The sequence below is a fragment of the Homo sapiens genome, chromosome 5 (genome assembly GCF_000001405.40).
Source record: "Homo sapiens chromosome 5, GRCh38.p14 Primary Assembly".
Lineage (NCBI taxonomy): Eukaryota > Metazoa > Chordata > Mammalia > Primates > Hominidae > Homo > Homo sapiens.
The window spans coordinates 80,178,202-80,204,886 of record NC_000005.10 but is presented as its reverse complement, the minus strand read 5'-3'; the positions used below and the strand labels follow the sequence as shown (position 1 = coordinate 80,204,886).

Here is a 26,685-nt window from a genome sequence, read left to right as displayed (position 1 = left end):
GCAGCTGCAGTTTTGTTTTTCCCCAGGCAACTCTTATTTGTATGTGTAGCTGTGATTTTTCAGTCTGTTTCTCTGAGGACTAGCCTTAACTGTCTGCCTAACTGATTTTTCCTTTTCTTCTCCCTCACTTTCTTGGGCCCAACTTTTTGTTTTTCATGTTCTTCCCACTTTGTTTACTAGTTCTTGGCTTCTTCTCTTGCTCTTAGCTGATTGTAGAAATCTTTTTGTCTGAGAGTCACGATTATAATACTTCAGATGAACTGTGCCTTTTCTGTGTAATAATTGGGCATCTCCCAAACCATTGATGGTTGTCATTAAAGATAGCACCAGAACAATTCCGATGAAAGCTTTGTTCACACACCGAACTGTTCCTGCATGTCCTATGGTCAAGGTACCTGGGAAGAATGTTCATCTTGTAGCTTGGAAGGTCGACCTACAGAAGACCTGGGTGAATACGTTGGTAAAGTGGTGTGACTCAGTACAGGACACCAACTGGGCATCCCACAATTTAATTCAATTCTGACACTAACTACCTAGAGTTCGCACAGACCTCACAGGTTAAGGGCTGGGTTCCACAAGACTTTTCTCATTTCAGATGCCAATTGCAAATCTAGGCCTTCCATACTTCTGACTGACCAGCTATGAATCAGGGGTTCCCAGCATCCCCTCTTTAGGTTCAATAATGGGCTAGAATGGATCACAGAACTCACCAAAACTCTTTACTGGCGATTACCAGTTTATTATAAAGGAGACAAATGAACAGCCAGATGAAGAGGTACACAGGGCACTGTCCGGAAGGGTCCCGAGCGCCAGAGCATCGTTCCCTTGGAGTTTGGGTGCACCACCCTCCAGGCACATGGATGCGTTCACCAAACTGGAAGCTCTGAATCCCATTGATTAGGGTTTTTATGGAGGCACTATTATGTACATGCGGCTGATTAAATCATGGGCTATTGGTAATTAGCTCAGTCTTCAGTCCCTGCCCAGGTGTGTGCTCCTGAAAGTTCCGACCCTCTAAACCACATGGTTGGTTCCACTGATAGCCAGCCTTCCATCCTGAAGCTATCTAGGGACCCAGGAAGAGTTGCCTCATTAGTACAAGCTCTGGTATGACTGAAAAGAGCATTAGTAACGAAATACTCTCCTGTTAACCTCTGTCACTCAGGAAATTCCAGAAGTTTTAGAAGCCCTTGCACCAGACCAAATTTTTGTATATATATATGTAGAGTAATGGCAAAAACCACAATTACTTTTGCACCAACCTAATATGATTGTTTTCTTTTTTCCTGGTCATGTTTTTCATGGAGATAGCCTCCCAAGTAGCTGGGACTACAGGTTTGTGCCACCATGCCTGGCTAATTAAAGAAAAAATTTTTTGTAAGAGATGGGGTCTTGCTGTGTTGCCCAGGCTGATCTCAAACTCCTGGGTTCAAGCAATCTTCTTACCTTGATCTCCCACAGCTCTGGGATTAAAGGTGTGAATCACTGCACTGGGCCTTATTAAAAATATATATATGTGTGTGTGTGTGTATATGTGCATGTGTGTATGTATATATGTATATATAAAATATACATTAGATATAGACTGTCTCAATATATATAAATATATATACACATATATATATATATGTGTATATATATTTATTTAGAGACAGGTTCTTGCTGTGTTGACCAGGCTAAACTTGAACTCTGGTCTCAAGCGATCCTAGTCTCAAGTGATCCTCCAGCCCCCCGAGTAGCAGGGACTCCAGATGTGTACCACAGTGCCTGGCCATGTTTCTTATTCTATCACAGTATCATGCTCTAAGCAGATGCCTTCTGTTCCTTTTCTAGCTGGCCTGCTGCTGTGGGTCTGCAGGCTGCTCTCTCTGCTGTGATTGCTGCCCCAGGATTCGGCAGTCCCTCAGCACCCGCTTCATGTACGCCCTCTACTTCATTCTGGTCGTCGTCCTCTGCTGCATCATGATGTCAACAACCGTGGCTCACAAGATGAAAGAGCACGTAAGTTTGTCCGTGTTCAGCTCGTCCTATTTCCGATGTTTGATGAGGGTGTGTGGGAAAAACATGATTTAGAAGATGGGGTCCATGTACCCCCATGTGTTTTGGGGTATACCTGGTTTCCTTGAACCTTCCTGAAGCCTGCTCTATGCTTTCCAGGATCCAATGCCTTCTGGCTAAACAGGAAAACCAATCAACAGCTTGATCTTTAGTAGTAGTGTAGATTCTATCTGATGCTTTTGGTGGAGAATTCTTGTTTTAATTTTTAAATTTTAAAACATTTGTGTAGATTAATGGGGTACAAGTGCAATTTTGCTATGTTGATATATTACCTTGTGGTGAAGTCAGGGCCTTCGGTGCATCCATCCCGGGAATAACACACGTTGTACCCACCAGGCAACCTCTCATCATCCACCCCCTTCCCAGCCCCACAGCCCCTGAGTCTCCATTGTCTATCATTGTCCATCATTGGACACATCATGGACACATCATTGTCCATCACAATCGTCTGTTTATGTCAGACGATTGTGTATTTTATCTTAGCATTGTTTATAGCTGTTCCTGATGAAATATACTATCTTTTCTTGTACCCTTCTGTCCTTTTCCCTTGTCATAGGATGGCTGCCAGGATTTCTTTCTTCTTTTTTTTCGAGACAGAGTTTTGCTCTTGTTACCCAGGCTAGAGTGCAATGGCATGATCTCGGCTCACTGCAACCTCCACCTCCCAGGTTCAAGCGATTCTTCTGCCTCAGCCTCCCTAGTAGCTGGGATTACAGGTGCCCCCCACCACGGCCAGCTAATTTTTGTATTTTTAGTAGAGGCAGGGTTTCACCATGTTGGCCAGGCTGGTCTTGAACTCCTGACCTCAAGTGATCTACCCGCCTTGGCCTCCCAAAAGTGCTGGGATTACAGGCGTGAGCCACTGTGCCTGGCCGCCTGCCAGGATTTCAAATAGCAGCTGAAACACTTAATTTGGCCTACATAGGAAGTATAATAAAGCTGATATTCTCACAAATAATGGAGAATGGGCTATGGGGCATTTCCCACCTTTCTGGACAGGTTACTTGTAGGGTGAGTGGTGTCTTCATGGGTGAGGGGTGGATTTTTGGCCGTTCTTTGGTCAGCGTATACAGAAGTAGGCCTGGTGTGTGATGCTGATGGAGATACATGTGGGACCTCTTTTTCTTGAATTTCCTTTTTTCCCCCATAGTAGTCCTCCTGGATCACAGGGGACTGTGGTGGGGATTTTGAGAGAGCCCAAGAAATAACACTTTGTCTCCTAGGTTCTAAGCGAATTGACAAAAAAGACTAAGATGTCAGCAGGTTGCCAAACATCACCTTTATTCCTCATAAAACTGATGTGAGGCTCTGTGGTTCATATCTTCAGGGAAGCAGGCTTTTACTGAACCCCCAAATGACTCAGACTCACCCAGCAGGGCACCATCAGTGCCCGGGAAGGGCAGACTTCTTTGCAAGGGCGCAGTTTGCCAGGAAGAGAGAGCAGCAGGCGTGTTCCCTTGGGGCAGCTCTTATCCTAGAGATAGAGGGAGAAGAAAGCCTTGCTATCCAAATGCCATTTCCCCTTACAAACCGACCACTCCGTACTGCATCTTCCCAGCTGAACAAGTGAGGAGGTGGAGGGAAGTCCGGAGCAGGCTCTGATGGAGCTGCCCACAGTAGGGATGACATTGCCCGGGGCAACACCTGAGCAAACGTTTGCCCCAACCTGTGCTGAAACTAGGGCTATTTTATTTTTTTTATTGATTGATGATTTTTTTGTGGGGGGGTGGTGGATGGAGTCTTGCTCTGTTGCCCAGGCTGGAGTGCAATGGCGCGATCTCAGCCCACTGCAGCCTCCGCCTCCCAGGTTCAAGCAATTCTCCCACCTCAGCCTCCCGAGTAGTTGGGATTACAGGCGCGTGCCACCATGCCTGGCTAAATTTTCGTATCTTTCTTTAGTAGAGATAGGGTTTCACCATGTTGGCTGGGCTGGTCTGGAACTCCTGACCTCAAGTGATCTGCCCGCCTCAGCCTCCCAAAGTGCTGGGATTACATGCGTGAGCCACCATGCCTGGCCTGAAACTAGGGCTATTTTAAATACACTCAAGTATTTCAAAACAACCATTTTCTTAACAGCACTTTGTATATTCTTATTCATTAAAATAGGCCTTCTGAAGCTTTCTGTTGCATAGTGCTTTTATAATTCTGGTTGTATGGTCTTGGATATGGTGGATACTACAGTGAAATTTGGGTTCCCCTCTGACTGCTTGAAACATTGGCTCTTTCTTCAGTAAGACACTGTAGTGCTAGCCGTGGGGTGTTCACACTTGCGAGAAATGGAGCTTATAATTCAGAAGAGAAGTGATGAAGTCTTTTTTTTCTTTTCTTTTCTTTTGTTTTTTTGAGATGGAGTCTTGCTCTGTCGCCCAGGCTGGAGCGCAGTGGTGCGATCTCGGCTCACTGCAAGCTCTGCCTCCTGGGTTCACGCCATTCTCCTGCCTCAGCCTCCCGAGTAGCTGGGACTACAGGCGCCTGCCACCACGCCTGGCTAATTTTTTTTTTTTTTGTATTTTTTAGTAGAGACGGGGTTTCACCATGTTAGCCAGGATGGTCTCGATCTCCTGACCTCGTGATCCGCCTGCCTCAGCCTCCCAAAGTGCTGGGATTACAGGCGTGAGCCACTGTGCCCAGCCAAAGTTATAAAGTCTTCTAAGGCCTAAAACAAGGCAGAAATTACGAGTCTCGCTCTGTTGCCCAAGCTAGAGTGCAGTGGCACAATCATGGCTCTCTGCAGCCTTGACCTCCCAGGCTCAATCGATCCTCCTGCCTCAGCCTTCTGAGTAGTTGGGACTACAGGCGTGAGCCACCATGCTGGCTAGTTTTTCTATCTGAAAGCGTAGATTTTAACTCTTATTCTGAGCGTCCACTTAATCTCCCATGTACTACTTGTGTTTTTTTAAGTAATACAGTAAATTACTTAAATTTACTCTTTGTAAATTCAACAAGCTTGAATTTCTAAATCCATTAAGGTGGCTTGATGATCCACTGTGGTACTGTGGTGGGAACTCTGCTGTGCACTGGTTGTAGTGTGATCCCTGCTCTTAATAAGTTGCTATTCTTTAATAGAATTAAGCCCTGCATCCAAAAAACAAAATCTATTACTAAACAAATAGATAGTATCCCACAGTGGTGAATTTATTGAGACGTTAGAGGGAGAGATAATTTGGGAGCCATTGGTATGTGTTTTAGGACGTGAATTTCATAATGATAATATTCACACCTGATTACCATCCAAGTAACCTGCCCCATGAAGCAGTTCTAGCAATTCCAGTCAGTATTTATGCTTTCTGACTGTTAACGGATCATTTGAGAAACAGAAGATGTTCCACTGGTGTTGCTAGGAAAGGCTTCGTGAAATAAGTGACTTGTATGAGTAATAATAACTATTTCAATAGCTAATTATTGAGTGATACCATGTGTCAGGTTTTATTCTGAGCACTTTCCCTGTATTTTCTTACTTCATCAGCACTGTACTCACCTGAACAGTAGGTACTAGCATTACCCCTGCCCTACAGATGGGGAAACTGAAACATCGAGCCATTTAAGTACCTCACCCAAGGTCTCCAGCTATTAAATGGTGGGGTTAGGATTTGAATCTGGTCTGAATATGTTCTTAGCTACGAGGCTGTGTGACTAGAGAGGAGGGAGAGGCAGGTGGAGAAGGACCAAGAGGTGAGGCGAGGTGAAATGACCACATCTTGCAGGAATTGTAGTGCCAAGGTGAAGTGTTTGAATGTGGTCTGTGGCAAGTGGGAAGCCATTACAGATTCTAGAGCAGGAGGCTATATCATGGAAACAGAGGGAGATATTTTGGGAGGTGAGCCTAGAGGTAGTGGTGGCAGTGGGCACAGGGTGACTTACAGTCAGAGAACAGAGAGAGGGAGGAAGAGAGGGAAGGCAACCCTGATGTCCCTCACAGAGGCTCTTGTAAATGTTTCTATGCCTGTCCCCTGAATGTACCTATTTACAAATGGTTTGGCTGGGTGTCCTGCGTAGGGAATGAGATCCCTGTGGGTGAAACCAATCCTTTTCCAGCTTTAGGGCCTCACAAGGGAGCTGGCCATCTGGCCACAAAGTCAGCTTGTTTCGTGGCCTACAGAAGAGAGGCTGACCTCATCCTCAGGGGGTGCTTGCGGGCGGGTGTTGAAAGGTCCCCTTGTAGGGACGCACACTGGGCTCCTGCTGGAGTCCTTACCCCCTCTTTGTTGGCCGTGGAAGTGCCTGAGACTGTGACTGGAAGAGGAGAAAGAACTGCATGCTTGTAACGGCCCGGATGGGAGTGTGTAAGTGCCTCCTACCCAGCGTTCTGCCAGAGTCGCGTGGGTCTTTGGTATGTGGGTTAGGAGCGCAAGGGCAGCTCCCTTGTCAGTTATTTCCAGTTTTTGCCTTGGTTGCAGAATGTGGCCTGTGTTTAAGTTTGAGTAAGAGGGGACTGCAAGGGATGCTGGGCCAGACTTTGTCCTGCTTCTTTTCTTTAGGGAAACTCCTCTTTCCCAGGAGAACTTTGGCTCAGAGAAAGCTTGACTGTGCTGGTTGAATAAGGCATGATTCTGTCTTCTCTTGGAGCATTTCCCCATCTCAAAACATAAGGGCTATTTATTTTGCAGGTCATTCTTGTTATTAACTGTATAATTTAAGCAGGTACACACTCATGAGATTTGATACCTGGGGGATTAAAAATCCATTTTAGAGGCCGGGTGTGGTGGCTCATGCCTGTAATGTCAGCACTTTGGGAGGCTGAGGCGGGCGGATCACAAGGTCAAGAGATCCAGACCATCCTAACCAACATGGTGAAACCCCATCTCTACTAAAAATACAAAAATTAGCTGGGTGTGGTGGTGTGCACCTGTAGTCCCAGCTACTCAGGAGGTTGAGGCAGGAGAATCGCTTGAATCCAGGAGGTGGAGGCTGCAGTGAGCCGAGATCCCGGCACTGCACTCCAGCCTGGCGACAGAGTGACACTCTGTCTCAAAAAGAAAGTCCATTTTAGAATGTAGAATGCAAAGGGAACAAAAGTGGGCAAGAAAGTAAAGCCTCCCAACCCAAACGCTAAGTCAAGGTGTAACGTCTGTGTTTGAGGAAGATTCAGATTTAGGCACCCTGGGAAGCCACATGGGTGTTTGGGGAGGGAGGAGAAAGGAAAGTCTTTATTTCCTAGGGAGTAGGGGCCACTAAAACCTGTACTGAAGAAGGAAGGATGGGTGACCTGTGCAGCCCCCACTTTCTCCCCTGAGAGCTCAATGTGCCAGGCCAATGTAGGAAGAGCCATAGATATTCCCAGCCTGAAACATGTTAGATCTGTTTCCTTCATTCCACATTACACTCTCCACTCCCTCCCCATCTTCCCCTCAAGCTCCCCAGCCCTAGGCAGCCACTAATCTATTTTGTCTCTGTGGATTTGCCTATTCTAGACATTTCGTATAAATGGAATCATACAATATATAGCCCTCTGTGTCTGGTCCGTTCTCTCTCTCTCTCTCTCTCTCTCTCTCTCTCTCTCTCTCTCTCTCTCTCTCTCTCACAGATGGAGTCTTGCTCTGTCTCTCTGGCTGAAACGCAGTGGCACGATCTTCTGCTTCAGCCTCCCGAGTAGCTGGGATTACAGGTGCCTGCCACCATGCCCGGCTAATTTTTATAATTTTAGTAGAGACAGGGTTTCACCATGTTGGCCAGGCTGGTCTCGAACTCCTGACCTCAGGTGATTTGCCTGCCTAGGCCTCCCAAAGTGCTGGGATTACAGGCGTGAGCCACCGCACCTGGCCCACTTAGCATGTTTTTAAGGTTCACACTCAGGTTGTAGCATATGTACTTCATTCCTTTAAGTGGCTAGATAATATTCTGTTGTATGAATATAACATTTTATTTTACTTTTATTTATTTATTTCTTTTGAGATGGAGTTTCACTCTGTTACCCAGGCTAGAGTGCAGTGGTGTGATCTCGGCTCACAGCAACCCCCGCCTCCCAGGTTCAAGCGATTCTCCTTCCTCGGCCTCCTGAGTAGCTGGGATTACAGGCGCGCACTACCAGGCCCGGTTAATTTTTTATATTTTTGGTAGAGACAGGGTTTCACCATGTTGGCTAGACTGGCCTCGAATTCCTGACCTCAAGTGATCTGCCCGCCTTGGCCTCCAAAAGTGTTGCGACTGTAAATATACCTGTAACATATTTTATGTATCCATTTGTCAGTTGATGGACATTTGGATTGTTTGTACCTTTTGGCTATTATAAATTATGCTCCTGTGAACATTCGTGTACTGATTTTTGTATGGACATATGTTTTCATTTCTCTTGGGTTTATATCTAGAAGCAGAATTGCTGGATTGTGTAGTAATTTTAAGCTCTTGAGGAACCGCCATATTATTTTCCAAAGTTGCTACATCATTTTCCATTCCCACCAGTAATGTGGGATATTCAGGATGAAGTCATGTATTAAGGTTCACATTTCTCCACACCCTCACCAACACTTAATGGTACATCTTTTTTTTATTTTAGTCGCTATAGTGTGTGTGAGGTGGTCATCTCCTCTTTGCCTGTGCCTCTAACACTGCCCTCTGCCCTTCCCGTTCGCTTGCTTTCCCCTGGGGCAGCTTGTTCATTTCTGGCTTTGATCATCCCCATATGTGCATCTGCTTGTAAAAACACCCTTCACTCAGGACAGTGCTGAGGACACTGGTAGATTCTTTCTTCCTGCATCCCCGTTTTTCTAGATCTTGTGCATACTTTTCCCCAGACAGGTCATAAAAGTCTCAGGCTTCCACTCTGCATTCCAGTCAGTCACGGTGATTTGGCCATGCCACCCTCCCTGGTGTTGCATATTACACTTACCTTGTTTGAACTTGAGTAGTTCCCAGATGTTCCCAGCTGCCCTCAGACTTCTTTCTCCAGATAACTTAGCCCGTTAGTTAGGCTGAGCTGAAGGTGCTGTTTGCTACATTTCTCCCAGATGATACCCTATTTCTAAATTCTGGGGTCACCACAGTGTAGTGACTGTAGGTGAATACAGTGGCTACTTTACTTAAAAACAACTTGGATTTCCAAAGGCTATTCATAAGCACATCTTTTAGTCTGTTTACAGTGACATGTTAAAATACTTCTGTGGTTCTTGGAGTTGACAGAGTTCTTTGATCCGTTATGTTTGAAACTCTGAAACTGGGGAGATGAGCTACTTTATTTCCTATTTTTAAACTGAAGAATTAAAATAAATATGAAGCCATAATATTAAATATTCCTTGTGGGAAGCCCTTCTTGTACTGGTTCCAGGGATCCAAAAATGCCTGAAACAAGGCCCCTTAAAGGAGCGAGTTAAAGAGATGAGTGGAAAAAGGCTGCAGCTCGTATGTATAGCAAGTGTTCTGCCTTGAGAAGAGACAGCAAATACGTGTGGTGTTAAGTGTTCTACAGAGAAAACAATGATCTTTTTAGGATATAATTTATTTTTAAAATTTGTATAAATTTATGGGGGTACAAGTGTAATTTTGTTACATTGATATATTGCTTAGGATATAATTTGAATACATTGTTAGAATTTTTTTTTTTTTTTTGCGACAGAGTTTCACTCTTGTTGCCCAGGCTGGAGTGCAATGGCATGATCTTGGCTCACCACAACCTCTGCCTCCCAGGTTCAAGGGATTCTCCTGCCTCAGCCTCCCGAGTAGCTGGGATTACAGGCATGCACCATCACACTCGGCTAATTTTGTATTTTTAGTAGAGAAAGGGTTTCTCAATGTTGGTCAGGCTGGTCTCGAACTCCTGACCTCAGGTGATCCACCTGCCTCCGCCTCCCAAAGTGCTGGGATTACAGGTGTGAGCCACCACACCTGGCCCATTGTTAAGAATTTTTAAAAGCAGAAAAGTCCTAAGTGGTCATCTTAACAAACCTGTCGTTTGACAGGTGAGGAGCTGTGGCCCAGGAAGTGAAGTGGCTTGTCAGAACTGAGACACCAGGTATATCTGGGATTAGAACCCAGGGCTGCTGGTCGCCTGGCCAGTGCATCTCCTGTTTGTGCAACTAGGTTTGCTTGTTGGTCAGATATTCACAGAAGTCACAGTTAAATGCCTTTTATCAAGCATATCCTTCCTCCGCTTTCTAGACTTTCTTCTGGGCCCAGTGGTAAGAAGTATTACTTTTGGAAATAGCGCTGCCTGGGGCCCTCAGCAGCGATCTTAGCTTAGTTACATTTCCCATCTGCCTGCTTCCTGTTGTGATGACCAAAAGCTGAGCTCAAGGGATGACTGTTATTCTGAAGTAGAAAACAGAGGTAGCCACAAAACTAGTATTTATTTATTCAGTGGCTTTACATGTAAAATAGAACTTGTTTTCAGGTTGTGTTTGGTATAACCATCTTTTTAAAACAAACATCATCAGTGAAAAATATTCCGCTTTGATCCAAAATACTGTGCAGTTTGTCCCAATGTAAAATGACAGGTCTTCATGCTGAAGCTGGAGAGTCTGGCTCTTGATTTTCCTTTGATATTTACTGGTTGAATGTTCAGAGCACACTGTACCTGAGACCTGCATCAGGGGCTGGCATAGGCACATTGAAGCCTCAAGTAGAACTCTCTCCATTCTCCGCTTATATGCTTTTGTGTCAGAACAAGTGTCAAATTAACAATAACAAGAAAATATTGCTGACCCAGTTCTTTGATTCTGGAATGCTTTTTTAAAATCCAGCTGAGATGGAGTGCTTTTCAAAAGTTCTCTTTCTGCGTAGCAACTGAGTTCATGGTACTGTTGTACCTTATGTGTCAAGTTATCAAGGAGGAAGTTTTTGAGATTAAAAGTGGGTTGGGACCATCGAACCTCAAGCCCATTGTAGAACTGAGGGAAAATTCTCACCATGACCTTTTAGAATTTTCCTCTGGGGAGCTGGCTTTGAGGTTTTGCCTCTTAAATCCTCTGAGTTCCCTCCCCTCCAAGTTAGGATGACTCTGGAGACATATGTTTCCAAACGGTTTTATCTTTTGGTCTAAATTTCATCCGGAGATAACATGTGAGAGAAAGCAAGGAGTCCCTGTACCCTCCTATGCCTCAGCTGTCATTGCTGGGCCTTATCCTTCCCCATACAAGTGGATGTCGGGAAGTAGTGGTGGGAAATCGTTTTGTACTGGAGGCAGCAATTTGAACTAATGGATATTCTGCTGAGAGTCTTTTTTTGAGCCTGAACCAAGGACAAAGAGGTTTGATCCTGGTCCAGTAATAATGAGCTTGCCAGGAGGCAGGAAATTGGAAACAATACATACTGTCCTTGGTCTGTGAGGATCCATTACCTGCACGTTTGCGGGAGCACCAGGTGTCAGCTGGATCTCTTTTAGGATTGGTCTGGCTATGGACGAGAGAGAATGATAAGATGTGAGAATGAAAGTTTTCCTAACACGTTTTTTTCTGTAGTCATCTAAAGCGTCTGTTAAGCAACTGTCCACAGACAGGGCCTCGGAGTAGCCTGCAGATAAATAGAACAGACAAAAGCTTTGGAAATGAGCATTGTCAGCCATCATAAACATGGGGCTGGAGAGAACAGAGAAATGGCACAACGAAGAATGGAAGAAAAAGTAGCCTCAGAGCGATGGGAACAGGAAACAATGCATAGATATTGTGAATGGCTGAATCTTGATACTTACTCTGCATAGAAATTTAATAGGATGATTCTGTGACTTGATTAAACTGTAATCCGAGCTCATTCTTCAAAAGTTTAAAAAATTGCCTAGCTGTCATTCTTTCAGATGCAAGTGGCGAGCACTCTGAAAGGTGCTGGGGATTTCAGAGACACTGAGTAACACACAGTTATTGTCCCCATAGAGCTGGCCCTCAGGTAGGGGAAAAGAGAGCAGTTTGGCAAGTGTGTCTGGAAGGAGCCTGTGATGCTAGACTGTGTATGTCTGAAAGCTAAAAATATGTGAACTCCATTAGTGAATATTGGACAGTGGTGTTGGCTCAGATGTGACTCGGCTGACCTTCGGAGTCACGTGGTAACTCAGGAATGCTCTCTCCCCATTCTAGAGACAGAGCTGAGGTGCCTGGGAGGTTTATAAAATGGAATGAAGTGTTTTTGCCTCCTCATCAGGGCTGAGCATAATCATAAGGGGTTGGGTATTCTGGTGGTGTGGTTTTAAAATTTCAGCGAGACAGTCTCTGCAGTCTTCAAATAGATCTAAAATTATCTTTCGACATGCTGGCTTTCATCAGTGTGGGGTTTATTTTTGGTTCCATGGGGTGTGTTTGTGTGACAGATGTGAGGACGTTTTCTGTTCGAGCTATTGATGGCTTCTGAGCCGCAGAGATGAGCGCTGGAAGCTCATAGACACATTCTCTCTCCATTCCTTCCCACCCCATCTGAAAAACTTTCTGTGGGTGGATAAATTAAGGTACTTTATTTTCTGCTAAAAAAAAAAAAATGACATATGGGAGATACACAGTTTGATTCACTTAAGGCCCAAGTTCCATTTGAGGACAGCCCTGAGGAAGGGAAGAGTCTCATGGGAGAAGGCAGGAGCGGAGGGTTGGGACAGCTGGACCGCAGCCCAAAGGAGCTGCTCTTTTGGCTCTTGATTTGTAGAGTAAGTTATCACCAGTTGTCACTTGCTTTTGAAATGTGCATTTGTACTTAGGCAGTTAACAGTTAGCCACAACTCCTCATCTATTCTTCCTAGTAGCGCAGGGGTGGGGCAGACTTTTCTTACAAAGAGCCAGCTAGTACACACTGGAGGCCCTGTGGTCTCTGTAGCAGCTCTCGCCTTTGTAGTGCAAAAGCAGCCAAAACAATATGCCAGCCAATGGCATGGCCAGCCAACCAGTGTGGCTATGTTCCAATAAAACTAGGAGGCTAGCTGGATTTGACCCACTGGCTGTCGTTGGCTGACTCCTGTGTTAGACCCTCCATGGTCTTATATGCGTTATGTGCAGTTATTCTCCCATCTCTCTCAAAAGGGAAACGTCAGTGACCTGAACATTGTGCTCAGAGTACCAGAGTTCTTGCTTAAGTTGCAGGTAACTGACTAGGCTGTATGAACCACATAGTGGGTAGACTAGGTAAGAATAATGTGGCAATAAATTAGTATGACATGTTTAATAGTAATTATGTCTATATGGCATTTTGGAATAAATGGCAAATTGTTTACAAGTTAAAAAAAAAAAAGTCTTTTTTTTTTTCTTTCTTTTTTTTTTTTTAGAGACAGGGCCTTGCCCTGTTGCCCAGGCTGGAATGTGGTGGCACGATCATGGCTCACTGCAGGCTTAACCTCTGGGGCTCAAGTGATTCCCTGCTTCAGCCTGCTGAGTAACCGGGACCATAGATGTGCACCACGATGCCTGGCTAATTTTTCTTTTTTTTTTTTCTTTTTTTTTTTTTTTTGTAGAGATGGAGTCTCCCTATGTTGCCCAGGCTGGTCTCAAACTCCTAGGCTCAAAGCAACGATCCTCCTGCCTCAGCCTTCCAAAGTGCTGGGATTATAGGTGTAAGCCACTGTGCCCAGCCAGTCATCTTTTTATATATTCTGTCAAAGGACGAAATTACAAATTTAGTTGGAAAGTTGAATTGGATTTTATTTGTGATTCTAGAATGTGAAGTAGAACGACTGTTCCAGTTAGCTGAGCAGAGGAGGGTGTCTTTATAGGCAGAAAAGGCTTGAAAAAAAGCAGAAACAGAACAAAAGGTTAAAACAGAGGATTTCCTTATTAGGCAGACTCACATTGACTAGAATCTTTCAGTGGTTTTTTTTTTTGGTTTTTGTTTTTAAAGAAAACTGGCCCCCAAATTCAGTGGCACTTAGTACAAGTGGCTTCATTTTGGTTCGGTCTGGTCTGCTGGGGCCTAGTGCAGGAGTCAAAAACAATGGCCTCTCCTAAACTTTAACAATCCAAACCAAGCATTTGGTGATCCAGGAAGAAGTGGGGTTGGAGAAAATGAGGGTCTGGGCACCCTAGTTCCCCAGCTGCTGGGCACCATCATTCAATTCCAGGTCTGATATAAGAAAGATGCTGGGGCCGGAAACTTAAATGTCTGCCATGTACTGGTTCCCATCACTAGAACTGGGGAACAGGTAATGGGGCTCTCAAATCTTGAGGTTATAGGTTTGGTGTAGAGTCCTATCTTTTGGGGAACATTAGGTCCTAATGTCCTGCCTAAGGCAAACATCATGACTAGTCCGAATTAACCATGAAAATACTTCAAATATCCATCAAGTAGAGCATAGTTTTGTGCATACAGCATTTCACTAGTAGAACGTTAGCTCTTTTTAGCATGAACTTTTAAACTGTTTTATTCACAGCTCGTATCCCCCTAGTTTAGAGCAATACCTGCACATAGTAGTTGGGAATGAGTGCGTGGATGCTCAAACTCTAGGCTGTAATACATGTGTATGTCATGTAACATATAGTACGGAATGAAGATTATACATGCAAACTCTAAATTCACTGGATTTTTACAAATTATATGCTCATGTCTGTAATCCCAGCACTTTGGCAGACCAAGATGGGAGGATCACTTGAGCCAAGAGTTCGAGACCAGCCTGGGCAACATGACGAAACCCCGTCTCTACAAAAAATACAAAAATTAGTCAGGTGTCATGGTGTGCACCTGTAGTCCTAGCTGCTCCAGGAGGCTGAGATGGGAGGATTGCTTGAGCCAGGGAGGTGGAGGTTGCAGTGAGCCGAGATTGTGCCATTGCACTCTAGCCTGGGTGACTGAGTGAGACCCTGTCTCAAAAAAAAAAAAAAAAAAAAAAAGTACGGGAGACAGTTATGTAAATAGTTGAACTTGCAAATAATGTATTACCACTGCGTTCAGGTCCACACATTTAAGAAGAAAGCAAGCTAATTTTGGCTGAGTGAGGTGGCTCCCACCTATAATCCCAGCAGTGTGGGGATGCTGCAGTGGGAGGATCTTGTGAGGCCAGGAATTTGAGACCAGCCTGTGCAACATAGTTAAAACCCTGTCTCTACAAAAAGTAAAAAAGTAGCGGATGTGTTGGCATGCACCTCTAGTCCCAGCTTCTGGGAAGGCTGAAGTGGGAGGATGGCTTGCGTCTAGGAGTTTGAGGCTGCAGTGAGCTATGATTGTGCCACTGCACTCCAGCCTGAGGGACAGAGCAAGACCCCTTCTCTATTAAAAGAAAAGAAAAAAAAAGAAACTAGCAGATTTGAGGCTCACTTAGACTATAAGCATGTGTTTTCTCTAAATGGTTAGAATAGAAAGACCTGCATGTTTCAGCATTTAGTCCTCTCTTTATAGAAATTTCACATTTCTATGTTCAAGAGATATCTTTCCATCAGCCGTGTTCACCTCAGGGCAGCACAGTGTCTTCTGTTAGACCCTGTATTCTGTGTGGGGCCATAGCCGTATTTTCTAGCCGAAACGAAAGTTCAGACCTCCGTAGCTGTGGTTTTAAGTTGTCTTGAGTTAGAAATAGATTTGTGTCTTTGGCTCAGAGGGTCCTATTCACTCTCTTCCCGGCTTTGGTTGTAGGGGCATTGCTTACAAAGGCCCTCAGGAATCTGGAAGATTGACATGTTGACCTTGCCGGGGCAGCACAGGAGTACCTGGCTGAGAGATGGTGTGTCCCCAGCTCTGCCTCTCTTGCCGGCACCTCCACTCCTCCTCTCTTCTGCTCTATTACCCCTAATTCCAGAGTTTCCAAAACCCTTCTTATGGAGAGTTTGGCAGTATCCGTTCAAATTTTAAATGTACTAACTTTATGACTTCTGTCATAAAGCTGACTTTAGCTTCTGTCCTTCTCAACACTTTACATGTGAACAGAGAGATACACATAATAAGGATGATATCCATTGTACATTATTTATAATAGTGAGAAAAAATCAGAAAAAAACTAAATGCCTATCAGCAGGATAACAAACTAAATTAGAGTCAATCAGATTGTAGAATTCTAAATTTTTATCTATTTTTCTGAGACAGGGTTTTGCTGTGTTGGCTAGGCTGCAGTGCAGTGGCGCGATCATGGCTCACTGCAGCCTCAACCTTCTGGGCTGAAGTGATCCTCCCACCTCAGTCTCCTAAACTCTTGGGCTCAAGAGATGCTCCTACCCCAGCCTCCTGAGTAACTGGGACTACAGGCGTGCACCACTATGCCTGGCCAATTTTTTTACTTTTTGTAGAGACGGGGTCTCTCACTGTGCTGCCCAGGCTGGTCTTGAACTCCGGGGCTCAAGTGATCCTCCTGCCTTGGCCTCTCAAAGTGCTCAGATTACAGGTGTGGGCCACTGGGCCCAGCCTAGAATTCTATGTAGTATGTAAGAAGATGCAAATAGATTTATCTGTTAAACATACAGCAACCTCCAAGACATAATGAATGTAGAATAATGGCACAGCAAAGGGTCTAGAAAGATCCACTCACACCTGGGGACAGTGGCACCTCTAGGGAAGCAATCAAGTTAGAATTGAGGCATTGATGGGCAAGGACACTGGGTTATTTGTATTTTTATTGTAATTTACACATTTTGGCAGTAAAATATATAATTGTTTTGCTTATATAAGTGCAAATAAAATTGAGAATAATCCTTTGCAGTTAGATTTTTTTTTTTTTTTTTTTTTTTGAGACGGAGTCTTGCTCTGTCGCCCAGGCTAGAGTGCAGTGGTGGGATCTCAGCGCACTGCAAACCCCGCCTCCCGGGTTCAAGCGATTCTCCTGTCTCAGCCTCCCGAGTAGCTGGGATTACAGGTGCCCGCCATGCACCTGGCTAATTTTTGTATTTTTTAGCAGAGACGGGGTTTCACCATCTTGGCCAGGCTGGTCTCGAACTCCTGACCTCATGATCCACCTGCCTCGGCCTCCCAAAGTGCTAGGATTATGGGCGTGAGCCACCGCACCCAGCCTTCTGCCTTCAGTTTTACCTAATTCTCTCAATGGAGATTGAAATGAGTTGAATCCTGTTCTGCATCTGTGGAGGAGCCCTTCTTCCCATAGTAATTAATTAGTCAGTCTTCTGGGAGTTGTCTCCTTTGGAGCTTATTGTATAACGGTTTGCTTAGAGTTGCTTTCTGGCTGCTTAATCCTATCTGTGACTGTTTGATTCTGACAAAATATTCATGGTGGAGGAGGAGCTGTGAACTCGCATTCTCAGTCTTTGCATGCTTTTTGAGATTAATTTTCATTCATCTTTTGGCTTTTAATAATGATACAATGTAGATTTTTCTATTAAAAATGCTCAGATAACCCAAAGAAAAGAGAAGCCAGTACTGGTTGTTGTTATTGTTTATTAAATAGCCCCAGATCCCCCAAAGGGCCTCAAAGGCAATCACTTACTGAGAAATGAGCTTTGGTTGCCAAGAGGCTGTGTAAGGAAAGAGGGAAGCTGATTTTAGTGTTTCCCATTTCATGGCTGTTGTCCACTGACCAATAACAGGAAGTCATCAGTGTGGTGGACCCTGGAAGTACTTCATGGAGAAAAACAAACTATCCTGGAAAGTTTGAAGATGAGTGGAATATCAGAAAAGGGAAAGGCAGACTGGGAGACATTCTAGGTTCTGAAATGCATTTTCAAGTGAGGGATATTAAACAGAACTTGCAAATCTAGTTCTTCTAGTTTTTGTGAACCTAATTTATCCCTCATGTGGAGCTGCCCAAAGCTTTCTTTGAAATTTGATATTAATATAATGAAATGTAAGAATAATTAGCTTTGCTAATATTGCATTTTCTTTTTTCTTTTTTTTGAGATGGAGTTTTGCTTTGTCACCCAAGCTGGAGTGCAGTGGCGTGATCTCAGCTCACTGCAACCTCTTCTTCCTGGGTTCAAGCTATTCTCCTGCCTCAGCCTCCTGAGTACTTGGGACTACAGACGTGTGCCACCACGCCTGGCTAATTTTTGTATTTTTAGGTATTTTTGGTAGAGATGGAGTTTCACCATGTTAGCCAGGCTGGTCTCGAACTCCTGACCTCAGGCAGTCCGCCCGCCTTGGCCTCCCCAAATGCTGGGATTACATACGTGAGCCACCGCGCCTGGCCTAATATTGCATTTTCTAATCTCAAGTAACACGATTACACAACTACAACTTTCACCTACTTCCTCTCCATTTCTTAAGAAGCCACTCCCAAAACTTATACATGTTTTCTATGTTTGTAGCATCTGGGCCCCTGGCCAATTAGACCTGTAGGTCTTCCTGTAGCTTTTTTGTTGTTTATTTGCCTGGGATTGAAGTTGTTTTAGGGACATAGCTAGCATCTCTCCTGTGTAAACAAAATTACGTGAATTTTCTTCTCCCTTGCATCTTGTTGAGTTTATTACTTGTTTTCATGTTTTGGAAATGTTTTTCCTAATTTGTGAGTTCAGAATGCTTTCTTCTGGATGGTGGCTAGGTCTCTGAAGGACAAGTAGTGAGTGCTATTTTTTGGACCTCAGTTCTAATATAAATGTACCAAGGAAAGATTCACCTTACTGACAGGTCGGGCGCGGTGGCTCACGCCTGTAATCCCAACACTTTAGGGGGCCGAGGCGGGTGGATCACCTGAGGTCAGGAGTTCGAGACCAGCCTGGCCAACATAGTGAAACCCCATATCTACTAAAAATACAAAAAGTTAGCCAGGCATGGTGGCAGGCACCTGTAATCCCAGCTACTCGGGAGGCTGAGGCAGGAGAATCACTTGAACCTGGGAGGCAGAGGTTGCAGTGAGCTGAAATCGCACCACTGTACTCCAGCCTGGGCGACAAGAGTGAAACTCTGTCTTTTTTTTTTTTTTTTTTTTTTTTTTTTTCAAAACAAGAAAGTTAATCTTTCAATCCAAAGGTAGTAGATCCTTTGGTAAAGTGAATAGAGCATCTACTAATTCTAAGATGTTCAGTTTCCCACCATGTTTAAATCGGAATGCATTAGTTTGTGGATCATGTAATGTACCTGAGTCTCTTCCCCGAAATTATTTTTATATAATGTCAGGCCTCTGAGCCCAAGCCAAGCTATCGCATCCCCTGTGACTTGCAGGTATATGCCCAGATGGCCTGAAGTAACTGAAGAATCACAAAAGAAGTGAATGTGCCCTGCCCCGCCTTAACTGATGACATTCCACCACAAAAGAAGTGTAAATGGCCGGTCCTTGCCTTAAGTGATGACATTACCTTGTGAAAGTCCTTTTCCTGACTCATCCGGGGTCAAAAAGCTCCCCCACTGAGCACCTTGCGACTCCCATTCCTGCCCACCAGAGAACGAACCCCCTTTGACTGTAATTTTCCTTTACCTGCCCAAATCTTATAAAACGGCCCCACCCTTATCTCCCTTTGCTGACTCTCTTTTCGGACTCAGCCCGCCTGCACCCAGGTGATTAAAAGCTTTTATTGCTCACACAAGCCTGTTTGGTGGTCCCTTCACACGGACGCGCATGAAATATAACATAATAGTGCTTTAGAATTAAAGAAGTTAACTTAATGACTACTATGGGTTAGGAACCGTGGTAAGCACTTCACAGGTGTTATCTGATGTAATTCTCAGGCAACTCCATGAAATGGGTGTCGGTATTGTTTCATTTTACAGATGGCACAACTGAGGCTCAGGGTGTGTATGTGTGTAGCTAGCTCAAGTTAGCAGTGGAGTTAGGAATGGAAGTCTTATGAGCTGTTTATTCTTACTTGATAGTTTGTGGCTTTGAGTTTGGTTGCTTTGAGGGTTGGAGGGAAACGCCTTGTTCTCAGGGGTCTGTATAGAAACAACATACAGCCTGCATGCGGTGGCTCACGCATGTAATCCCTGCACTTTGGGAGGCCGAGGCAGGCAGATCACCTGAGGTTAGGAGTTTGAAACCAGCCTGGCCAACATGACAAAACCCCATCTACTAAAAATACAAAAATTAGCTGGGCATAGTGGTGTATGCCTGTAATCCCAGCTACTTGGGAGGCTGAGACAGGAGAATCGCTTGAACCTGGGAGGCAGAGGTTGCAGTGAACCGAGATTGCGCCACTGCACTCCAGCCTGGGCAACAGAGCAAGACTGCATCAAAAAAAAGAAACAACATACAGTGTGTGAGCCTGGCTTAAGTGCCCTGTCCTTGGGTGCCCAGAGCCAGACTTAAGAGGTAACACCCTTAGCAGGCACATTCCTTTCACCCTGTGGTGTGGAATTTGTATGTGATGTATTTTTTCTTTTTCCAAAAATGGGGTGGACTTTGGAACAGCAAATATTTAATCGGAGCAAATTCCCCTTGCCAGAATCCTGCTAGCTTGTTCACCTTGGAGGTTCTTTGCCCAAAAATACTTACCACATACTGAAAACTAAATGTGCTAAGTCACCCACAGAGTATAAAGGAGGTCTTGATTAGGATTTGGAGCAGGGGGGTTGTTTACCTGTTTTTGATGAATATACAGTGTCAATGTACTCACCCTGTGATGAGCCTTAAAGGGCCCTGGCCGCATTCCAGATTCTGGAGTAAGCAAACAAGGGAGGGGATTTGTTGGGGATGGTGGCTCAGCCTGCTGCTGTTAGCATTCTCCTTGAAATGGATTTTGGAGGAAGAAAAAAGAGGTAGGGAGGCAGAGAAGGTCTAAAGGTGAAAGATGGGCTGGTATAGATGAAAGAGGTGCTAATGTGCATGTGTTATGGGGAAGATGTGGTTCAGGAATTAGAGTTGCTGATGGAGTAGAAGAGAGAAGGTGGGGAAGAAAATAATTTAGGGAATGTTTTAGAGCAATAAATCCTGTGTAAATGAAACAGCCTAATGAATGAAGTGGTATGGCTTCTCCATGAATGTAGCTTTTAGAGATTCAAAGCAATATTACCTCCTCGTTACTGGCACTACTCATACAGGTGTAACTTTTGTTTTGGGTTAGACTCTCTGAAACATTCATTTTTGTGTGTGTCCCCTACCATATTTCAGCACCTGAAAATTTTAACCATGCTGTTTCATCACTCATGTTTAAACACAGCTAAAAATTGAGGTTCCTCCAGAAAGCACCTGTGTGACTGACTTCTCATTACCCGCCTGCGGGTGCTTCCTTTCATGCGCGTCGGTGTGAAGAGACCACCAAACAGGCTTTGTGTGAGCAACATGGCTGTTTATTTCACCTGGGTGCAGGCGGGCTGAGTCCGAAAAGAGAGTCAGCGAAGGGAGATAGGGGTGGGGCCGTTTTATAGGATTTAGGAAGGTAATGGAAAATTACAGTCAAAGGGGGTTGTTCTCTGGTGGGCAGGGGCGGGGGTCACAAGGTGCTCAGTGGGGGAGCTTCTGAGCCAGGAGAAGGAAATTCACAGGGTTAATCACTCAGTTAAGGTGGGGCAGGAACAAATCACAATGGTGGAATGTCATCAGTTAAGGCAGAGCAGGGCCTTTTCACTTCTTTTGTGATTCTTCAGTTACTTCAGGCCATCTGGGCGTATACGTGCAAGTCACAGGGGATACGTGCAAGTCACAGGGGATGAGATGGCTTGGCTTAGGCTCAGAGGCCTGACACTTCCTGTATCCAGCCCCAATTGCTGTTCTAAAGCAATTTCCAGACCAGACTGTTCTCGCTGGGATACCCCTTGGTGATGCCCTAAGGTGTTAAAGAGCAAACTCCTGCTTTGTTCTTCACTTCTGCTGTCTGTCCTCTGCCCTCCACCCTCCCTCCACCCCAAACGGCAATGCCATAAAAAAAGAAGAAAACAAAACAGCTTTGTCTCATTCTTGTGCTTCATTCTTGTCATCTGTGCTCTCCTGCCAATTGTGAGCTCTACCTGCAGAATCTCTGGTTTCTCTGCCTGGGGTTACCTTCTTCACCTGTTCCCAGTGGCCTTCAAACTTGTCCCCTTGCCTCAAGTCTGTACCCTTTCACCACGTCTTCCACTTTGTAGCCAAAGGTGTTCTAGCTTCAGTAGTGCTTTTCCCCTTGCTTACAGGATGGGGGCCTGACTGCTAAGTCTGGCATGCACCTGGCCCTTCCCAGCAAGACCTTGCCTTTGTAGAGAAGGGAAAAATGGCTTCCTTCCACTCTTCTAGGTTCTTTCTCTGGAAGCAAATTAAATTGACATAAGACCAATTACAGGAGAAAAAGCAATTTTAAAAAGGGTCAGATAGGCTGGGCATGGTGGTTCACGCCTGTAATCCCAGAACTTTGGGAGGCTGAAGTGGGCGGATCATTTGAGGCCAGGAGTTCAAGACCAGCCTGGCCAACATGGTGAAACCCCATCTCTACTAAAAATACAAAAATTAGCCAGGCGTGGTGGCAGGCGCCTGTAATCCCAGCTACTCTGGAGGCTGAGGCAGGAGAATCACTTGAACCTGGGAGGCAGAGGTTGCAGTGAGGCGAGATTGCGCCACTGCACTCCAGCCTGGGCAACAGAGGTCTCAATTAAAAAAAAGCGGAGGGGGGGGGGGCGGTCAGATGATAGAAGCTTATGGCATGTTGAGCTACAGAGAGGAATAGGGGCTTGGGGCCTCTGGGAGTTGCTGGCAACACGTAATGGGAGAGTGAGGGGAAGAAATGTATGGTGAATAAACGTCTGATACACTTTACTAATGTAGATTTCCTCTACAGATGTAAATTTTTTGTATAAAACAGCAGCTTTGCAGAGCTACTCCTGTGTCTTCAGCTTCTCAGAATAACGAGCTTGAAATACGCAAAGAAGAATGTTTTAGGGTGGCATATCTTGGTTTTTGTGAGTGACGCCAAGGTCAGAGGTAACCAGGTCCACGAACATTTGTGTCTTTCCATAATGTTGGACTTAACTGATGCTATTTCAGTTACAAAAGCCACCAGCTATGTGGAGTTCCCAGGGAGCCAATTCTTCTTAGTACTTCTCATCCACTCATTAGATCTGCAGGCACACAGGTTCCAGCCTCTGCACCAGCCAGTCAGTATTGCAAACCGTACACAATCGTATACTCTGTCAATATATAAATGTTACTGATTAAACATTGTGCAACAAACAAAATAACATTTAACATTAAGAGAAAGGGAATAGGAAAAGGGTTAATGAAGTAGTCCAGGGAGAGCAATAAAGAAAAAAAGAATTTCCTGGTCTGGGCTGGTTAATCTGGTTGGTTGTGCAAGAAACAGTCTTTGATGTGGGCAGAGCCTTCGGGGCAGATGCCAGGTGCTTGTCACGAGTTAGAACCGTACCTACCCTTTTTATGGCCACAGAGTCCTCCAGTGAGGACTGATAGTTGAAGACTGTGCTTGTTTATCTACTTATCTGGTTGGATGCAGTCTTTATCAAGCAAAACATCTTGTCTCTGTTGTGACAAAATGGTGTAAAAAAAAAGTCATAAAAAATGTACAGTTTTAGGAATTTGCTGAAAACAAAATGTTGGCTATTTCCTCATGAAGTCTTTCACATGTCTTCATGAAAATGGAGCTGGCCAGGTACAGTGGCTGACACCTGTAATCCCAGCACTTTGGGAGGCTGAGGCAGGTGGATTGCTTGAGTCTAGGAGTTCGAGACCAGTTTGGTCAACATGGTGAAACACCAACTGTACACACACACACACACACACACACACACAAAATTAGCTGAGCTTGGTGGTGCATGCCTGTAGTCCTAGCTACTCAGGAAGCTGAGGTAGGAGGATGGCTTGAGCCCTGGAGGCGACGGTTGCAGTGAGCCAAGATTGCGCCACTGCACTCCAGCCTGGGTACAGAGTGAGACCCTGTCTCAAAAAGGAGTGGGGAGAAAATGGAACTCTTTGTTTGTTTGTGTAAAGGAAAATAAACCCTCTCAGGACTGCCCAAACTCTTTATGCCAAATGGAAACTTAAGACTGGAGAGACAGTCACGTGACACTGCTGCTGTCCCCTCGCACCTTGCCCCCCTGCCCAGTAGATAGCTGCGACTTCCCAACCTTGTGTCAAAGCGCTATGCATTAGCCACACCCCTGGAGAAGGCAGAAGGCCTCGTGCATCCCGGATGACTGCCCTCAAATTGCTCATAAGTAAATTCTCTGCTGGTCCCTAAACCTTTCAAGATGTGTATCTTCCCATAAAAAAGGACATGTCAGCTGTAACTTTAGGTCTGCAATCTAAGTCTAGCTCCCTGTCCACGGAATTGCAGTCTGTTACATTTCACACTGACAATGCCCATTACAAGCTTATCTTCCCAGGTGCAGAACAAAGACAGGACAGCAGTCATTTCTCTGCCTACCCTGAGACTACATAATTAACTCTTCCTTTACTCCCTTTTTGAATGTTTATCATATCTCTTTTATAGCGGAGTTTACTGGGCACTAGTTAAAATCTCAGGAGAATGTTGCATTTGCCTCACCACCTGCCCCCTTTTCCTGCATGCCTTCTCCCCTTTAAAGAAATGGGTAAATACCGAGCAACCTCTTTGGGAGCGCCAGCCACAGAGGATTCTGTGATTTGTGTGTTTCTCAGCAGCCCCTCAAGCTCTGGCTTAATTATTCCCCATTGAGACTCTTGCCTCAGTCTCTCATTTGGGTTGACATTTGTTTATGGAAATCGTGATAGCCACAGATATTATTGTTTCTTCAGTATCTTTTTCTGGAGAAGAAACTGTAAATTATCTTCTTTATCACACTTTCCTTTTACCTTCAGTTTTGTGCTATTTTTTCTCTGTGATACTTTATTTTTCTTATGAATAATAGTTATAATGTGATTTATTTTCTGTTCAGAAGAGTGTTCAACTTTGATGTTGATAAGAAGCAAGTTTTTATGACTGACCAAATCCTTATTTTATGACATTACTAGGAATGTGCTGCTTGTTCTCATTGTGTAAGATTTTAATTATTCTGATAATGAAACTGATTATTTCATGTGGAAGTCTTCTAATTTGGCTAGAATAAGCTATTGTCAACATTTATCAGAAGATTAAGACCCACTAATAAAGAGCTCCAGTGGATCAAGAAAATACCCAATTAACAGCCAATTCAGAGAAAAAAAACAGATGGCCATAAACTTGAGAAAAGATGCTGAATCTCACTAGTAATAAGGAAGATGTACCTTAAAACAGGATATTGGGTTTTTGCCTTTAAATTAGATGTCCAAGTTGGGAAATGTGCAATCTCAGATATTACTGGTAGGATGTAAATTGGTACAGCCTTTGAAAGTATGATTTAACTCATCTTGAAGTTTAAAAATGTAGATACTGGTTGAATATTCCTAATCCAAACATCTGAAATGTGAAATACTCTAAAATTTGAAACTTTTAAAGTGCCAACATGATACTCAAAGGCAATGCTCACTGAAGCATTCTGGATTTTTTTGGATTAGGGAACCTTAGCCAGTAATATAGTGTAAATATTCCAAATTCTGAAAGACTTCTGGTCCCAAGCATTTTGGATAAGGGACATTCAACCTGACTACTTGACCTACTAATTCCATTTCTAGCTCAGGTGTCTGTCCTACATAAATAATGGCACAGGTGCAGTGAGGCATGAACAGCAGTATTTATTGAATTAGTGTTTGTGATAATAAAAAACAAGTACAAAAAATAAAATTTAAAAACCCTCCCCAACAAAAAATTAAGATCAGTGTGAGAATGGTTATTGATTTTGATCAAGCCTTTTTACAGTATAAGATAGTGATGAAAAAGAATGTGATGGGATTTTGCGTATTAATAGAGAAAGACTCTTCATGGCTTATTGTTTATTTTTGTTTTCTTTTTTTGGGACAGAGTCTCACTCTGTTGCCCAGGCTAGAGTGCAGTGTCACGATCTCGGCTCGCTGCAACCTCTGCCTCCCAGGTTCAAGCAGTTCTCCTGCCTCAGCCTCCCTAGTAGCTGGGATTACAGGCACGAGCCACCACACCGGGCTCATTATTGTATTTTTAGTAGAGACAGGGTTTCACATGTTGGCCAGGCTGGTCTCAAACTCCCGACCTCAGGTGATCCACCCACCTCGGCCTCCCAAAGTGCTGGGATTACAGGCATGAGCCACCGTGTCTGGCCCAGCTTATTGTTAATTGGGAAAAAATATTGCAGAACATTACATACAATCTTTTATTTTAAAAAGCTGTTTTAATATATTTATTATATGCATAGTATGATATGAGTGTATGTATGTGTGTTGTGTATGTATATGTATATGTGAGTGTGTTGTATATATGTATACACACACATTTATGTATGTGAATTAATACAAATACTCTACCCACCAATTGTTTACTCTTCTGAGGGAGAGGAGTGACATTTTGGGTGGATAGTAAAAGAAGTCTCTGATTTTTTATTTGTATATATGTATACATATCAACAAAAATATATCCATGTATTGAAATGGGATTTTAGGCCAGGTGCAGTGGTTCATACCTATGATGATCCCAGCACTTTGGGATGCGAAGACAGGTGGATTGCTTGAGCTCAGGAGTTCAAGACCAGTCTGGGCAACATGACAAAACCCCATCTCTACAAAAAAAAAAAAAAAAAAAAAAATACAAAAATTAGCTGGGCATGGTGGTGCGTGCCTGTAGTCCCAGCTAATTGGGAGGCTGAGGCAGGAAGATTACCTGAGCCTGGAAGATCGAGGCTGCAGTGAGTTGTGATTGTGCCACTAAACTCTAGGCCGGGCAACAGAGCCAGAGAGACCTTGTCTTGGGGTCGGGGGTGGGGTGGGGGTGGGGGTGGGGGCGGTTAAAAAAAAGGTAATTTTTGTAAAATCTGATGTTGGATTTCAGAAGTCATTTGGGGCAAGTAAAGGCTGAGTGTTACTTTATGATCACTGTATCTTTAAAAAAGATTCAGAGAAAATTAGAAAAATATCTCTTTAGA

General features: G+C 44.2%; 1 protein-coding gene across 8 annotated transcripts in view, besides 11 other annotated features; it reads left to right on the top strand.

Annotated features, from left to right (window-relative positions):
• The window catches only part of SERINC5 (serine incorporator 5), a 144,824-nt gene that overhangs the window by 51,162 nt on the left and 66,977 nt on the right, over positions 1 to 26,685 (top strand). For all 8 annotated transcript variants that reach the window (NR_126060.2, NR_126061.2, NM_001174071.3 and 5 more), the window contains one exon: positions 1,834 to 2,001. Coding sequence is in view for 6 of the 8 variants with exons in the window: in NM_001174071.3 (NP_001167542.1) it covers positions 1,834 to 2,001 (168 nt within the window). In the remaining 2 variants the exon portion in view is untranslated. The remainder of the gene's footprint in view (positions 1 to 1,833; positions 2,002 to 26,685) is intronic.
• Positions 5,780 to 6,344: an enhancer, noted in NCBI's record as "H3K27ac-H3K4me1 hESC enhancer chr5:79494364-79494927 (GRCh37/hg19 assembly coordinates)". NCBI's record gives its function as "activates a minimal SCP1, AML or CMV promoter by ChIP-STARR-seq in primed H9 embryonic stem cells {active_cell/tissue: H9 hESC(primed)}" and the evidence as "EXISTENCE:reporter gene assay evidence [ECO:0000049][PMID:30033119]".
• Positions 6,345 to 6,909: an enhancer, noted in NCBI's record as "H3K27ac-H3K4me1 hESC enhancer chr5:79493799-79494363 (GRCh37/hg19 assembly coordinates)". NCBI's record gives its function as "activates a minimal SCP1, AML or CMV promoter by ChIP-STARR-seq in primed H9 embryonic stem cells {active_cell/tissue: H9 hESC(primed)}" and the evidence as "EXISTENCE:reporter gene assay evidence [ECO:0000049][PMID:30033119]".
• Positions 10,837 to 11,407: an enhancer, noted in NCBI's record as "H3K27ac hESC enhancer chr5:79489301-79489871 (GRCh37/hg19 assembly coordinates)". NCBI's record gives its function as "activates a minimal SCP1, AML or CMV promoter by ChIP-STARR-seq in primed H9 embryonic stem cells {active_cell/tissue: H9 hESC(primed)}" and the evidence as "EXISTENCE:reporter gene assay evidence [ECO:0000049][PMID:30033119]".
• Positions 11,980 to 12,550: an enhancer, noted in NCBI's record as "OCT4-NANOG-H3K27ac hESC enhancer chr5:79488158-79488728 (GRCh37/hg19 assembly coordinates)". NCBI's record gives its function as "activates a minimal SCP1, AML or CMV promoter by ChIP-STARR-seq in naive and primed H9 embryonic stem cells {active_cell/tissue: H9 hESC(naive and primed)}" and the evidence as "EXISTENCE:reporter gene assay evidence [ECO:0000049][PMID:30033119]".
• Positions 12,551 to 13,122: an enhancer, noted in NCBI's record as "OCT4-NANOG-H3K27ac hESC enhancer chr5:79487586-79488157 (GRCh37/hg19 assembly coordinates)". NCBI's record gives its function as "activates a minimal SCP1, AML or CMV promoter by ChIP-STARR-seq in naive and primed H9 embryonic stem cells {active_cell/tissue: H9 hESC(naive and primed)}" and the evidence as "EXISTENCE:reporter gene assay evidence [ECO:0000049][PMID:30033119]".
• Positions 16,498 to 17,328: an enhancer, noted in NCBI's record as "NANOG-H3K27ac-H3K4me1 hESC enhancer chr5:79483381-79484211 (GRCh37/hg19 assembly coordinates)". NCBI's record gives its function as "activates a minimal SCP1, AML or CMV promoter by ChIP-STARR-seq in primed H9 embryonic stem cells {active_cell/tissue: H9 hESC(primed)}" and the evidence as "EXISTENCE:reporter gene assay evidence [ECO:0000049][PMID:30033119]".
• Positions 18,468 to 19,289: an enhancer, noted in NCBI's record as "OCT4-NANOG-H3K27ac hESC enhancer chr5:79481420-79482241 (GRCh37/hg19 assembly coordinates)". NCBI's record gives its function as "activates a minimal SCP1, AML or CMV promoter by ChIP-STARR-seq in naive and primed H9 embryonic stem cells {active_cell/tissue: H9 hESC(naive and primed)}" and the evidence as "EXISTENCE:reporter gene assay evidence [ECO:0000049][PMID:30033119]".
• Positions 20,266 to 20,560: a silencer, noted in NCBI's record as "tiled region #2636; HepG2 Repressive DNase matched - State 5:Enh". NCBI's record gives its function as "represses a minimal TATA promoter and a strong SV40 promoter by Sharpr-MPRA in HepG2 cells {active_cell/tissue: HepG2}" and the evidence as "EXISTENCE:reporter gene assay evidence [ECO:0000049][PMID:27701403]".
• Positions 20,826 to 21,120: a silencer, noted in NCBI's record as "tiled region #551; K562 Repressive non-DNase unmatched - State 7:EnhWF". NCBI's record gives its function as "represses a minimal TATA promoter and a strong SV40 promoter by Sharpr-MPRA in K562 cells {active_cell/tissue: K562}" and the evidence as "EXISTENCE:reporter gene assay evidence [ECO:0000049][PMID:27701403]".
• Positions 20,826 to 21,754: a biological region, named in NCBI's record as "Sharpr-MPRA regulatory region 551".
• Positions 20,934 to 21,754: an enhancer, noted in NCBI's record as "OCT4-NANOG-H3K27ac-H3K4me1 hESC enhancer chr5:79478955-79479775 (GRCh37/hg19 assembly coordinates)". NCBI's record gives its function as "activates a minimal SCP1, AML or CMV promoter by ChIP-STARR-seq in naive H9 embryonic stem cells {active_cell/tissue: H9 hESC(naive)}" and the evidence as "EXISTENCE:reporter gene assay evidence [ECO:0000049][PMID:30033119]".